Here is a 16,585-nt window from a genome sequence, read left to right on the forward strand (position 1 = left end):
TTTGAGATTTTCAAGGCCAGCCTACTTCATCGCAAACCACAAAATGACACAAATAAAATCAGAAGTGCAAACTGAAGTCCTGGAAATGAATCAGTACTGATTTTTCTTCAAGTCAAAACTTCTCATAAAAAGATGGTCCCTGTCTCCTATTTAATAATAACTAATCATAAAAATTTAACAATATGTAATGATTCCACAATTCCTATATATATATTTTTGAAACCTTTAAAATGAAGATTTTCACAGTCAAATGATGAAAATATTTAATAAGGATGAAGTAAAAAGAACCTTCTTCATCAATATAGGTGTATGGAAATAATCATATTTCAAATCTATGAGATATGAAACAATCTATTTGACCATACTCTGCAAATCTAGTGTTCATAGAGTGATCCCACAAAAATAATGATATTTATTAAACTTCTGTTAACTCACTTTATCCCTTTTATCAACTTTTTTTCAAATTCCATGGAAATGTAAAAGTAACTATTTAATTTAATCAGGCTAATAATAACCTATCTTAATGAAATTCAGAGAGGAAACAAGAGACTACTTTAAAAACCCTCTCTAGAGGACCAATTGCTTCCAGCAGAGGAGGCGTATGCCTGTCAAATCGATTACTGTCAATGTGTAATGTTAGCATCAGTTTATGAGCTCAACTGATAATTCACAGGGCTGACAAGCGCCCTTGCAGAATCAGGAATTAATAAGGTAAAGGAATTTTGAATTTTAGAAAATGGAATTAAGCCTTAATTCCATGAAGAACATAGTAACTTTGTCAAATTGCATTATCTGCTTCGTTGCGTCTACCATTACTTATATCTGAAGGTAATTACAAAATAGCTATTATTCTTACAGCACCTGAAATTTGAAATTAAATAGATGTTAAATTATTATATAGGTTTTAGAAGTTCTAATTTCAACTATATGGTTGGGGACCTAAAAGTGATATGTGAGCTACGTAGAATGAATTTCCTTGACTGTTAAACACTCGAGGAAGGGGGGACCTTAAAAGTCACTTTAGAAAACAAACAAACGGCTCTGCAGCCAGAACTGCTTCCTTATTCAGAGACGAATGGCCAGGCCTCAAGAGAAGCATAACTCTTGCAGCTTATGCCAATATTCAAATTACAGTACAAATCTTGACAGAAGCTGGGCTTTAAAGAAATGGCACGAGAAACGAAACTGTCAAGAATATTAAATCACCCCAAACTGTTTATACTGAGCATATTTTACCAAAGAAGGTATTCAAATAAAAATGATGGGGAAAAAAAAGACTTTCATAGCAACCCTTAAAAGACTGACCATACCAAATGTCAGCAAACATTTAGAAAAACTGTGTGTAAGAGTTCACCGTTAGTGAGGGTGGAACTTAGTACAGCCACCATGGAAAACAGTATGCAGCTTTCTTATAAAAGTAAAAAAGAACTATCATATGATCCAGTCATCCTACTAGTGGGCATATACCCAACAGAAATGAAATCAGTACATGGAAGAGATAGCTGCACTCCCCTGTTCACTGCAGAATCATTCACAATAGCCAAGATACGGAAAGAACCGAGGTGTCAATCAATGGATGAATAATGGTAAAAATGTGGAATACTATTTGGTCATAAAAAAGAAAGAAATCCTGTCATTTGCAGCAACACGGATGAGCCTGAAGGACACTTTGTTAAGTAAAGTGAGCCAGTGACAGAAAGACAAGCACATCATCATCTCACTTTTACGGAGAACCTCAGAAAACTGATCTCATTGGAGCAGAGGATGGAATGGTGGTTACCAGAGACTGGGGGAGGCAGGAGGACAGGAATGGGGAGAGATGAGTTAACAGGTGCAGGGTCTCAGGTAGAAGTAAGAAGTTCTTGTGTGCTATTGTACAGAAGGGTGATTACACTTAACAATATTGCATGGTATATTTCAAAATAGCTAGAAGAGAGGATTTTCAATGTTTTTACCGTAAAGAAACGCTGAACGTTGGAGATGATGCAAATGCTACGAACCTTGATTTGACCATTTCACAATGTAAATATGTACTGAAGCATAAATAAACAGAAATGATAATAAAATGCTGAAGGAAATATAAAATGCAAAAATTATTTTGGGAAACAATTTGGTAACTTTTTAAAAAGTTAAACATGTAGTTAATATATGACATGGCCCTTCCACACAGAGGTAGTGACCCAAGGGAAATGGAAGCCATGTCCAAAGCAACACTTGTACACAGATGTTCACTGACCTTCATTCTTAAACGCCCCTGCAGGGAAAAAGGCATGAAGACACTTTGGGGGCTGTCAGGAACGTTCAATATCTTTCACTATGAGGTATTCGCACTCTGGGAGGGGTCAACAATGTTCAATATCTTGACGAGGGGTGGTGAAAACAAGGGTTGATGTTTATCAAAACTCATCGAATTGCACACTTTTGAATATCTGCATTTCTTGTGCATAAAGTATAACTTAATGAAATGGTTAAATTGTTAGGTTTTTCAGCGTAAAATTTTCTATGAAATAAAGTCTATGGTTGTTGTTTTCTATGGTTTGTAATTTATACCTTACCTATAATAAATTACAGATAGTCCCACCTCCCCCACAAAAATACATCCACAGCAACAGCCAGCACTACTGAGTTTGGTCACATAAACTGTGCACCAGATCACACCAGGGGCACTGGCCACACTGTCTATTTCTTATATTTGTCAATCTCGATATGTATTAATCGATATCTGTATGTATGTATGTATGTATGTGTGTATGGGTATACATGTACAAATTTAATTATAAAAGAGGATAAATCAGAACAAAAATATAATTGCCAAGTATGTATATATACACACATGCATATATACATATATACACACATGCACATATACATATATACACACATACATATACATACAAACATATGAATATACACACAACTATACTGGGAATTCTAATATCTCATCTTCCCTCTTTGATACATCTTCCACTGATATGTAGGACTATCTGCTATAAGGGAGATGTTATTACATCATTATTATCAATATGAATACTTACAGGTGACATTTAATAACTGCTTACTATGTGCTGAGAAATGTAGAAATCATTTTGTATGTGTTGTATAGATTTTAAACTAGATTATAAACACCATGAGAGTGGAAGCTGTATCTGTCTTCTGTTTATTTTTTTAATGCTGAACAAATTGTCTGACATATGTAGTAGGTATTTAATTAATGTTTATCAAGTAGATGATGGTTATGAAGTCCCTTTATTTCATCATTACAACATGTTAAAGCATTTTTCTGCTAGGCACAGTGGCTTACAACTGTAATCTCAGCACCTTGGGAAGCTGAAGCGGGTGGATCATTTGAGGTCAGGAGTTTGAGACCAGCCTGTCCAAAATGGTGAAACCACATCTCCACTAAAAATACAAAAAGTAGCCAGGTGTGATGGCAGGTGCCTGTAATCCCAGCTACTCAGGAGGCTGAGGCAAGAGGATCACCTGAACCCTGGAGGTGGAGGTTGCAGTGAGCAGCGATCATGGCCCTGAACTGCAGCCTGGGTAACAGAACGAGACTCCATTTCAACAACAACAACAAAAAAATTCAAAGAAGCTCTTTGTAAATATATAAGATAGGTTCTATTGTTTACCTTATTTTACAGATAAAATAATTGAAGAAAATTGGATAATATTCTAAGCATTGAATAGTTGCATGACTAGTAAACTGGAGGGTTCAGTTCGGTCTTTTCTCACTGCATTGTCTGAGCCCTTAAATCTCTCTTCTTGGTTTTAGTTCCTTAGCAAGATCAGGAACCCTGCTAGTAATGGATTCTGGGAAATGCAGTTTCCAGGCTTCCAGACTTTCTGTTCTAGACAGTAAGGAGCCCATGAGAAAATGAATATGGTTAAAACACCAACAGAGCTAGCAACTCTATGGACTCTCTATGGAAGAGGGATGATGGAGATTAGGATTTCCCAGTTCCACTAAGACACAGGTCCATGCAACAGCTGAAACTCCCCATCCCTCACCTTCCCTCCCATGTGCAGATGTCACACCTGGGCCATCACTAATCTTGTCTAACCCTGCATACTCTCCTCTGCTCTACAGAAAGGCAGTAACTTGGAGAGTGAAAATTTTCCCATCTCATTTTCCCACTAGGCAGTTGCTTTAGTGTGCCGCTTTTGTATTCCCAGTTTGTCTTTTCCCGGAAGTCAGCATGTCACTTTCAGTTTTAAAAGGCTATTTAACTGGTATTCATCTTGCCGCCTCCCTGACCCATCCCATCCCCATGCCTTTTTTCCAGTAGTGCATGCCTCTCTTCCATCCCTTGTATGAGAGTTAAATTATACTTTACTTGAATTTTCTTCTATCTCTACTTGATTTACCTCATTTCCACCAATAAACAACTGACAAAACTTGTTTATTAATGTTCTCCCTTCATGTTTCCGGTAACATATGACCCATAGTCTTGCTAAAATTAAGAGGAAACACATCACATCTCTCACTTTACTTTTGCTCTATCTACAACGATAACTTGTTCAATGACTTTGAAAATTTGCTCCTATTTATTCATAACATTGGAGAAAACAAATATTTTATTCCATACAATTGTCATTTCCTACCAGCCTGCCACCACGCCCACAGTGAGATAAGATATCGGCTGCTCTTCTGCAGCACCTCTTACTTCCTGCCTTGACATGACTTTACTGTGTCACACTTCTTTCAAATGTTAGTAGATGCTTGATAGTATCACAGACTCGAATGTGATCATGTAAGAGATCACTGTGTGAATTCCATGTTCTGCTAAATTTTTGAAGTTCCTACTCTGAAAATTATAACATAATAATAGGGTCTGAGGAAAAGTCCCAGAACCCAGTTGGTAGTTATCAACCAACAACTTACCAGAAAGATGACTCAGTAGATTGCTTGGTAATACCTGAACTTCTTAATCTGGGCATTATAATCAGGAAGAGGCATGGGTAGAGAACTGAATATGACTATGGAAAAATAAAACACCTTTTAAATAAATAGATTTTTAAATAAAATATTTGGGATTGAGAAACTATGCAAATGAAAGATAGACGGTTAAAAGAAAAAAAATCATTTAAAGTGTTTACTCCTTAGCATTGTCAAGTGATGAAATGTATTTATACCACGACAGTTCCTGCTTAGCTTTTGCAGGTAATGGTTGCCAAGTCTTTGGTGCAAAAATAGAAATGATAATTTTTAGAAAAGTTGTTACTCCTTCCCATTACTGAAAGTTAAAAATTGTTTTCAATATGGGCTTTTTTTTTTTTTTTTTTTTGAGATGGAGTCTCACTTTGTCACCAGGCTGGAGTGCAGTGGTGCGATCTTGGCTCACTGCAACCTCAACTTCTGCCTCCCGGGATCAAGAGATTCTCCTGCCTCAGCTTCCTGAGTAGCTGGGACTACAGGCGTGTGCCACCACACCCAGCTAATTTTTGTATTTTTAGTACAGATGGGGTTTCACCATGTTGGCCAGGATGGTCTTGCTCTCTTGACCTCGTGATCTTCCCACCTTGGCCTCCCAAAGTCCTGGGATTACAGGCATGAGCCACTACACATGGCCAACATGGGCTTATTTTTATTCTACATTGTTTATGTGAAATGGATCTGCTTAAATATAGTCATCAGAGTAATGCCTAAACACACAGACACACACAGTTACATTTCTTCTAATCATTGAAGAACATACCTTATCAATAAATGGGGGGGTTACAGTCAGGTTCTTCCAGTAGCAGATGGCATACAAAATTCAGTTTAAGATGTGCAAACAAGTCATTGAAAAAATAAATTTACTTGAAAACTGTGTCATAGCAACCTAGTTTTTAAAAGTTATAATCCAAGAAATACGTTTTATACAGAGATTGGAAGGTTAGAAAGTTGCATTTTGATAAACATGGTGGGATTCTGAAGAAACAATGAATGAAATAGAAATAAACTTTATTAGACAACTTTTGTGGAACTACAGTTGTTGACATAGAGATGTAGTTACTTTTCTGTTTCTTCAAAATTCTTCTAACTTATCTCCAGGTCTTCTGACCATATAGCTTTATTTTGATTTCCTTGACAGGGACTTCCACTGCCTGACTGTTTTTCTGCAAATATTTTCAATGAGAATCCCTTCTGCCTTTCAAAATGGGCATTAAGTGAACTACCCACTTTCTTAATATCCCCTTTGCTCCTAAATTAAATATTTTATTTTTTCTTTATTTGTGGTTGGTGTTGTGTGGTGTGGGCGGATTGCTTCTTGGTTCATTTTTCAAGATCTCCTTATTATGTAATGACCATGGTTCTTTCGGACAGTCTAAATTATTTTCTCATTAAAGCCATGCACACGTGCCACACTCTAGTGCTGACGAGGGCATCTTCTTTATGTCTTGGCCCATCAGATGGCCATTTAGCGCCCAACATTGGTGAGATGCTTCTCTCTTAGTGGAAAGTGACAGAATGCCTGCAACCCCATATTCTTATTTTCTAATCTGAAGTTAAATTCAGGCTTGTGTTGACTTTTATTTCCCTACGTAAGACTTCAGAGCAGATTCACCAGTGCACAGTTCTAGGACTGAAAAACGGGCTCCCGTGGCAGCTCAGCCATTCTCTGTTGCACTGGAAATTGCTTCCTGCTTCAACTTCTGGTTAAGTCAGCTAGAAAGTTCCCTGGACTAAGGTGCTCAACCCTGCAAAATCTCAGATGGCTCCCAGGCAAGACTCCCCTCTGGAAGTCTAACGATTTCCTTTTAGGTGGCAAAGCACTGAGTGATTTCTCTGCTTTCTCATGAACTACAACAATCGCATCATTCCTGGCATTCTTTGATTATGAGACCTGAGGTCTTAGTAGCATCTGATGCTTTCCAGAGTAACCTTAGAATTATATAAGAATACCTTTGAGGTTCTCTGGCAGTAAATGTTTAGATAAGGCCATCATAGTAAATATTCCTTAGAACATTTCCCATTTATGCCAGCGTCCTTTCAGAATATTACCTCTGTAAGGTACGACTAAATCGTTTTTTAAAACTGTGTTTCATTTTCAGGTTGATATAATCTCTAATGCAAAACTCATCTAATTACCAGTAGATGTTCCTATATGTAATACCAAAATTAAAGATCAAGGTGATTTTATGACTTTTCCATTTAATTTCTTCTGAGCATTTGTAAAGAGTTCCAGTTAATTCAATATTTGCTTATTCCATACAAGCCTATATTAAAGAAAATAGTATCCCTGACAGTTAATATGTGTTTTCACTGCATTTTGTTATAGACAGTTCAAAAATGTTCTGCCTTGATTATGAAGTACAAATATTTCCTTCTAAATAGTGAACATAATTTAGATTATATTACTTCTCCAGCCTAAAATCATGAGGAAATCCCATTTATTAGTGTTAAATCTCAACCTAATTGTTTGATCTGATCTCTCCACCTTTTCTCCATATCCCCCTCATTCCTGCCCCATAGACTTCATTTTGCTGCTGAATAAAATCACTAATTTAACATCCGCAGATAGCTTGTCTGCTCCCATCTTGTATTCATCTCCTGGAACAGACAGTTCCTTACACTTCTCGCCTATATTTCTATGAGTCAGAGTGCTGGCAGGAAGTGGCACACTCAAATCGGAAAATTAAAAAAAGTTAATGCAGGAAATATCGGGAATACTTGTGATTGGTTTAAGTCAACTATCACGGGCTAGTCAGCACAGTTCCCATGTGCTGTTCACAGTGGATCCATTTATCCCCCCAGGGAGCTGGTAGCAGACAGGACAGGGAGCTGGTAGCAGACAGGACTGGGAGCTGGTAGCAGAGAGGACAGAAGCCCCTGGTGGGAGCTGCTACCTTTGGCAATCCATGGAAGAGAGACGGAGAGACAGCACACCCCTACTTCACTCACTCTGTGGCCTCAGTCACTCCCCTTTGGTGAATCCCAATGAGAAGTCAGAGGGCAAAAAAGCCCCTTGATATGTTCAGTCCTCAGAGCACAGAGCTCCCTGGGAAAGAAAATAGTATCCCTGACAGTTAATATGTGTTTTCACTGCACATATTTCACTGCACATATTTCACTGGGAAAGATGAAGCATGGGGCAGAGGGGCTGAAACAGATGCCCTGAGTGGTTCTTCTCCATCAGCCCAGCCACCCAGTCCCGCCACCTCTCTGGAGACCTCATAGAAATGCCTGAAACATCACCTGTGGATGCCTATTGAACACATCCCACTCTTAGACCACCACATTCTGTCCAATCCTTTCAGGCTTTTGGGCATTCCTGAAGCCCACTCTGTCCACCTCTCCACTCTGTCCACCTCTCCGCCTGCATGGAGACTTCGAATCAGCACATCTCGTCATGTCTGTCTTCTAACCACACCTCCAACCTAGCGACCTTGATGACTATGAGCTGTTACATGAGGCAACTCCTCTCACCTGCACGGTGCCACCCACCTTCCGTCCTACCTCCTGCCTTCACCCAGACCTCCTTCCCATCCCAACACCCTACACGTCACTCAATCAGGTTCTTCCTCGAACAATGTGTGTCAGGTCAGGCAACTGCCCTGCACAAAACTTCCATGGCTTCTGATTGCAGAGTGACAAGAGAAACATGGCAGGGGGCTGATGCCTTGATTCCTCCTGACTTTGCTTCTGCCCCACTGGAAAGATCTTCCCCTTGGATGAGTCTTCCCCTATAGCTTAGTCTGGTCTTCCTGCAATTAACCAGATGCAATCCATGCCATTTCACTTTGCAACTTTGTATTTGCAAATGCTCTCTTCTGGGACACATCCCAGCTACCCAGGTGGGCAGCTCCCCACTCCCTTCACCAGCACTCCCTTCCAGAGACTCACACTGCTGGTTCCACCCTAAGGAGCAGAGGCTCCCTCACTCTCCAGCCCTCTGACCATTCCCCTACATTTTTCTTTATTGAATTTATTACCACCTGGGAGAACATCAAGGCTAAGATACCATCATTATAAGATGCTTAATTACTTCATACACTATTGAAAAAGAAAATTAAAATGTGACATGAGTCTCTCTTACCAACGCGATAGTAAGATACATCCCATATCAGAGGTACAAAAAGGTGAGAAAGTCCATGCCTTAGAAGCCATGAGACAGGTTATATATTACTATTATTGTTATTATTTTCACTGCAAAACTGTCTGATTAGAATGTAAAATCTGTGAGAGCTGGTCTTTTGCCCAGTTGCTACTTACGTAATCCCAGCCCTCAAAATAGTGCCTGGCACACAATATTCAGTGAATATGCATAAAATTAATTATGTAAATTAAGTGTAATGTTTAGTGGCTTTAACTATATCATTGTTTCATTTTCTTTTCTACCTTCTATATCTTATAAATCTTACGTATGTTTTATTATTGATCATAATAAACATCACACCAACATAGTGATTACATGTATTTCAAAACAAGAAAAGTGTGAGTCTTGTATTGTTCTATATACGCGACACCTTAGAAACGCTTTCTGAGTAAAAGGCAGTCTTTTCAACACATTGGCAATGAGCATTTTTAGGAGTAAGGCTTAAAAAAAGATATTTTCTTCTTCTCTTCTCAAAACAAACACTGTCCATGGCTATAGATTTTTGTCAGTATGCTAATATGTTATGATTCGGGATTATTAGAGATGAAAACATTAAGGTAATGCCAATTATTATTTTCTCAGCCACTTTATGTATGGCTTCTCCAAAAAAAAGAGTGTGAAGCTAAAAAAAAGAGAGAAAAAAGCATGCAAGAAGCAGACAGGGACTTAAACAAGACAGCTTGAAAACCTGGCTTATTGCTCATTTAAAGTGTGGAGCTTAATTCTTATCTCTGGCTATGGTTCTCATGCATCGAAAAACTTCAAAGACTGAAGTGCAAACTCATTTTCTTTGCTTGATCCTCCTGGTAGGGAGGGAAAAAAATCAAATGCAATTGTGTGAATTTATCATAATACTGTTCAAGGGGAAAACTCATAAAAATCCTGTCTGTTGCTCACTTGATTTGATGTATCCTTGTCTAATACCACCATTCACTGAAGACAACACAGGCATCCCAAATGACGGAGCGGCTCTCAACACGTCAACCCCACTCCATTATTATTGGCCTCAACTCGGGAAATCTTATCTATGAGGTATAGTTTGCATTCATATAAAACCCTCTTTGGCAATTCATACAGTTCTGACTTATCCTAAAGGCTGAATTAAATGGGCTGTGTAATTTGTAAACAGAATTCACATTTATTCTAATGGGACAGCGGGAAATAAGATCAACACTGGCAGCTTCTCCAGCCCTGCTCAAAGAAACTTCAACAGAGGCCAACGTATCCAGGGAAAAACTGGACTGCAGGAGCCCATCCTCAATGAATGTTATTTATCCTTCAGAGTAGATTCTCTTCTTTACATAGAAGATGGTTGTGATTATAATTTATTATTAACATTAATGTTTTCCCTTTCTAATCACAGTCAAAAGGAAGACAGAACACCCTGTTCCCACCAAAGCCACTATAGATGCAGCTAATTGATATCTTTTCTTTTTTTTTTTGTTTCAGAGTCTTGCTCTGTTGCCCAGGCTGGAGTGCAGTGGCACAATCTCGGCTCACTGCAACCTCAGCCTCCTGTGTTCAAGCAATTCTCTTGTTTCAGCCACCCGAGTAGCTGGGATTACAGGTGTGTGTCACCAGGCCTGGCTAATTCTTTAGTAGAGACAGGGTTTCATCATGTTGGCCAGGCTCATCTCGAACTGCTGACCTCAGATGATCCGCTCACCTCAGCCTCCCAAAGTACTGATACCTATTTCTAAAATAGAGGTTTTTGTACAAATAAGAATTAAGTATCCATAGAATTTACCCAGTAGAAAAGCTTCAGACTTAGCTATTAAAATTATTTGAATATTCAGGTCCATCTGTGATTTGGTAAATAATTACCATGGGGTTTTATTATTTTTAACAAATTTTTGAATTTTGAGATAATTATAGATCCATATGCAGTTGTAAGAGGTAATACAAAGTTCTCATGTAAGTTTTAGGCAGTTACAAAGATCTTGTGTAACCTTCGTGCAGCTTTCCCCAATGGCAGAATTTTGCAAAACTGTATTATAACATCACCACCAGTATACTGACGTTGAAACAGGTGAGATACAGAACATGTCCAGCAACACAGACATCCCTCCCGTTGACCCTTGATAGCTACACTTACTTTGGCCCATCAACACCTCCCTCCTTAACTCCTGGCCACTACTAATCTCTTCTCTCTTCCTATAAGAATGTTGTAGAAATGCATGTGACCTTCTGGGATTGACTTTTTTGGTCAGCACCACTCTCTGGAGAGTCATCAAGTTGGTGCTTGTATCAATAGTTTATTCCTTTTTATTGCTGAGTGGGATTTCATGGTCTAGATGAATTAATTTGTTTAACTGTTTGCATCTTCAATGACATTTGGGTGATTTCCTGTCTTTGACTATTATGACTAAAGCTGCTACACATATTCCTGCTACTATTACTTATTATTATGTTATGTGAACAGAAGCCTTCACTTCTCTGAGATAAATGATTGGAAGTGCAATTGTCGGGTCATATGATAATTGCATGTTTAGCTCTTATAAGAAATTGCTGGCCAGGTGTGGTGGCTTGCACCTGTAATCCCAGCACTTTGGGAGGCCAAGGCAGGTGGATCACCTGAGGTTAGGAGTTCAAGATGAGTCTGGCCAACCTGGTGAAACCTCATCTCTACTAAAAATACAAAATTAGCCGGGCATGGTAGTGGGCACCTGTAATCCCAAATCCCAGCTACCCAGGAGGCTGAGGCAGGGAGAATTGCTTCAATCTGGGAGGTGGAGGTTGCAGTGAGCCAAGATCGTGCCACTGCACTCCAGCCTGGGTGACAGAGCAAGACTCCATCTCAAAAAAAAAAAAAAAAAAAAAAAAAAAAAACCAAGAAAAAAAAAAGAAAAAGAAAAAAATTGCCAAACTGTTTAAAAATGTGGCTGTACCATTACACATTCCCATCAGCAATGTTTGAGTGACTCAACTTCTCTATTTGAGAGCATTTGGCAATGTCAGTATATATATATATATATATATATATATATTTTTTTTTTTAATATGTATTTTTAATTTTGGACATTTTGATAGCTGTGTATAATAGCTCATTTTTGTCTTAAATTTCCCTGATAGCTAAAGGTGTTACACAGTGTTCTATGTGTTTATGGTACATGTTCTTTGGTGAAAGGTCTTCTGAACATATCCTAACTCTGTGACTCTGTGTGTGTATCTGTGTGTGTGTGTCTGTGTGTGTGTGTGTAATTGTAGAGTCTTAAGAGTTCTTTATGAGTTCTTATCAGATACGTGGTTTGAAAATGTTATCTTCCAGTCTACAGCTTATCTTTTCAAGTTCTTTATATGATTTTTCTCCGAGATGTTTTTCATTTTGATAAGGTAATAATCAATTATTTGGTAAATAATTCCAATTGATGAATTATGTTTTGGGGGACAAGTCTAAGAAATATTTGCCTAGTCTCAGATTGCAAATATTTCCTCATATCTTTTACTAAAACTTTTATATGTTTACATTTACATTTAAGTCTATTATCCATTTTGAGTAGATTTTTGTAAAAGATGTGAGATTCACATGGAGGCACATTTTTGGCCTATGTATGTCCAGTTGTCCTGGAGCCATTCACTGAAAAGACTATTCTTCCTCCATTGAATTGCTTTGGCCCCTTTACCAAAAACCAGGAGGGCATCTTCTGTGGGTTTATTCCTGGGCTTTCTATTCCATTCCATTAATCTCTGTGTCTGCCCTTCCACCAACACCACATGGTCTTGATTACTGGAGCTATATAATATGCAGTGAAATTGGGTAAGGTGCTTTTCCCACTCAATTTTGTTCTTCAAAATTACTTTAGCTATTCCAGTTCCTCTACATTTTCATACACATTTTAGAATAATCTTGTTCATATCTACAAAACATATTTGCTGAGATTCTTATAACAGGTGCATTAAACTGTATATCAATTTGGGAGATTTGAGATCTTTACTCTGAGTGTCCCAATACATGAACATACTATATCTCTCTACTTATTTTGATCTTTGGTTTCTTTCAATAGCATTGTATAGTTTTCAGTCTATGAGTCCTATACATATACAGTTTTCTTTAGATTTCCACATATTACATTGTTTTGAGTGATTATAAATTGTATTTTAAAGAAATTGGGTGTTCACGTGTTCATATTATTATATAGAAATACAGTAGATTTTGTTGTTGTTGTTCATCCTGTATCCTGTGAAGTCACCAAACTGGGTTCTTGGCTCTAAGAGTTTATCTGTGAATTCTTTGGGAAATTCTATCTAGACGATCACGTTACTTGCAAGTAGAGTCAGGTTTACTGTTTTTCTTTGCAATCTGTATGCCCTGTTTCTCTTATCCTTGCAATTTTGAATGGACTTGAGCTTCCAGCACTATACTGAATGGGAAGAGTGGATATCCTTGGTGGGTTCTTACTCTTAGGGGGTAACATCCAGTCTTTCATCAGTAAGGTTAATTCTAAGTGTTTTTTTGTTTTGTTTTGTTGTTTTGTAAGTGCTCTTTATCACAAACTGAGGACGACCCATTTCCTCCTGCCTTGCTGAGACGTTGTCATGAACAGACGTTACAGCAGGCTTGATGGTGGCCCCCGATAACGACATGTCCACTCCCTTGTCCCCAGACGTGGTGACTGTGATTTTATTTGGAAAATGGGTCTTTGCAGATGGAATGTAGTTAAACATCCTGAGATTAGATCATCCTGGATTATGTTGGTGTCCCCACATCCAAAATACGAATGCCTTTGTATGAAACACATAGAGGAGAAAACAGACACCAAGAGAAACATGTGATATGAAGACAGAGGTAGGAGTTCCAGCGGTGCCACTGTTAGCTGAGGAGCATAGGAGACACTGTAAGCTGTAAAAGGCTGGGAATGGTTTCTCTCCCCGGGAGATCTGGCAGGGAGCATGGCTTTGCTGACACCTTGATTTTGGACTTGTGGCCTCCAGAGCTTTGAGAGACTGAATTTGTATTGTTTTCAAACAGTACATTTGTGGTGGTTAGTTTCCTTAGGAAACTAATAGGGGTGTTGAATTTGTCAAATGCTTTTTGTGCATCGACTGATATAAACATGTGATTTTTCTTCTTTATCCTGTTAATTTAATAAATGACATTGATTTTGAAATATTGAACAGTCTTTCATTCCTACAAGGAAAACACTTCATTTGCTTATGGCATATAATTTCATATATATATATATATATACACACACACACACAAAATCCTGTACCACGTAAGGACATTTCAATCAATGATGGATCATGTATACAATGGTCCCATAAGATTATAATGTAGTTAAAAACCTCCTATCACCTAATGACATAGTAGCCATTGATCATAGCACAATGCATTGCGCATGTGTTCCTGGTGATGCTGGTGTAAATAAACCTACTGTGCTGCCAGCCATGTGAAAGCGGAGCAGTGCAACTGTACACAGCAGGTAACACTTGATAATAATAAGTGACTATGACATTGCTTTATATATTTACTATGCTATACTATCCATCACTGTTTTAGACTATGCTCCTTATACTTACATTAAAAAAAAATCACTGTAAACAGCCTTAGGCAGGTCCGTCAGGAGGTATCCAGAAGAAGGCATTGAGATCACTGAACATGAGAGCTTCATTCATGTGTGGTATTGCCCCGAAGACTTTCCAGTGGGACAAGATGTGGAGGCGGAAGACAGTGTGTAGGCCTAAGCTATGTTTTGTGTGTTTGTGTATTAGTTTTAAACAAAAATTTTAAACAAAAAATTTTAAAAAGTAAAAAAAAAAATACAAAATTAAAATAAAAAATGTTTACAGAAGAAGACTATAAAAATATTTTTGTGCAACTGTACAATGTGTTTTAGGCTAAATGTTATAGCAAAACAATAAAAAATTTTAAAAAATGAAAAGGTTTATAAAGTAAAAAAGTTACAGTAAGCTAAGGTTAATTTATTATTGAAGAAATAAATTTTATAAATAAATGTACTGTAGCCTAAGTTCACAGTGTTTATAAGTCTACAGCAGTGTATGGTAATGTCCTAGGCCTTCAATTTCAGCCATCACTCACTCACTGACTCACCCAGAACAACTTCCCATCCTGCAAGCTCTATTCATGGTAAGTACCTTATACAGATGTCCCACTTTTTTATCTCTTATACAGTGTTTTTACTGTACCTTTTGTATGTTTACATATGTTCGATACACAAATGTTACTTCTTGTTACAATTGCCTGTAGTATTACAGTCACATGCTGTACAGGTTTGGAGCCTAGGAACAATAGGCTGTACCATATATCCCAGGTGGGTAGCAGGCTATACAATCTGGGTTTGTGTAAGTGCACTCCACGATGTTTGCATACTGTTGAAATCATCTAACAACACATCTCAGAACGTATCCCTGTTGTTGTTAAGCAATGCATGACTGCATATGCATGTATATATACACACACATACACACGTACATATATATTTGAATTCTATTTGCTACCATTAAGAATTTTTGTGTCTATATTTATGAGAGATATTAGTACATAGATTTTTTTTTTGTTATGTCTGTACCTGGTTTTGGCCTCAGAATATTATAACTTCACACATTACTTGTGAAGTATTCCCCCATCTATTTTCTGAGTATGTGTAGAATTGCTGTCAATTTTTCTTTAAACATGGTTTTATTAATTTAAATCATTAAAATTGTCCTCTTTCTATAGGAACTTGCATATTTCTGTTTAAAATGATAATTACAATGAATATGAGTTTGTATATGTGACTAATTATCAAATCAAGGCCATGGACTTGCATTTGTACTTATGATGCCTTTTCTAGCAGACATCCACTAGTGAGCAGTGTACACTGCACACCACGTGTCACCTTCTGCTGCAAAAAAATGTGAGAGGATACACGCACAAGGCTATTCATGTCAGACTATTTCTTATAGCAAAGAACTGGAAAGAGCTCATCAATAGATGGGTTGGAAGACTGATTGAATAAACTGTGGCCTCTCCATCTACTCTGTGGAGTGCTGTACAGCCAGAGAAAGAGGAGAGAGAGAGAAAGAGAAAGAGAGCAAGCTACTATAGAATGAGCTCCAGAATTCATTAGATAGAAAAAAAATAGAGCCTAAAACACATTACTGCTTACCCAATTTGGGAGGCGGGTTGACACAAACATCTAATATCTATATATAGAGATATCTACATATGTGTGCGTCTGTTTCTTAAAAGCAAGAATGAACCAGAACAATTCTACAAATTAGTATTTACAGGGGGAAAGTGAAACAGTTTAGAAGAGAAGGAAGCAGAAGTGAGACCTTCAAATTATACCTACCTTTGCAGAGTTGACTGTGGAATATCAAAGTATGCAAATCTTTGTATATCACAATAAAACAAAATTATTTTAAAGCAATCTAAAATGTTTAAAGAAGTAAATCTAATTGTGAATCTAGCAATGGACAGCTTTAAAGGACCTTGAAATACAGTAATTTGATTGGGAGACATGAAGTGTAAACATGAATGCAAAACCATTTTAGATTGTTTT

General features: G+C 37.7%; 1 protein-coding gene across 3 annotated transcripts in view; it reads right to left on the bottom strand.

Moving 5' to 3' along the window:
• The window catches only part of CSMD1 (CUB and Sushi multiple domains 1), a 2,059,554-nt gene that overhangs the window by 491,883 nt on the left and 1,551,086 nt on the right, over nucleotides 1–16,585 (bottom strand). The window lies entirely within an intron of this gene.

Source organism: Homo sapiens, chromosome 8, assembly GCF_000001405.40.
Source record: "Homo sapiens chromosome 8, GRCh38.p14 Primary Assembly".
In the NCBI taxonomy this organism is placed as follows: Eukaryota; Metazoa; Chordata; class Mammalia; order Primates; family Hominidae; genus Homo; species Homo sapiens.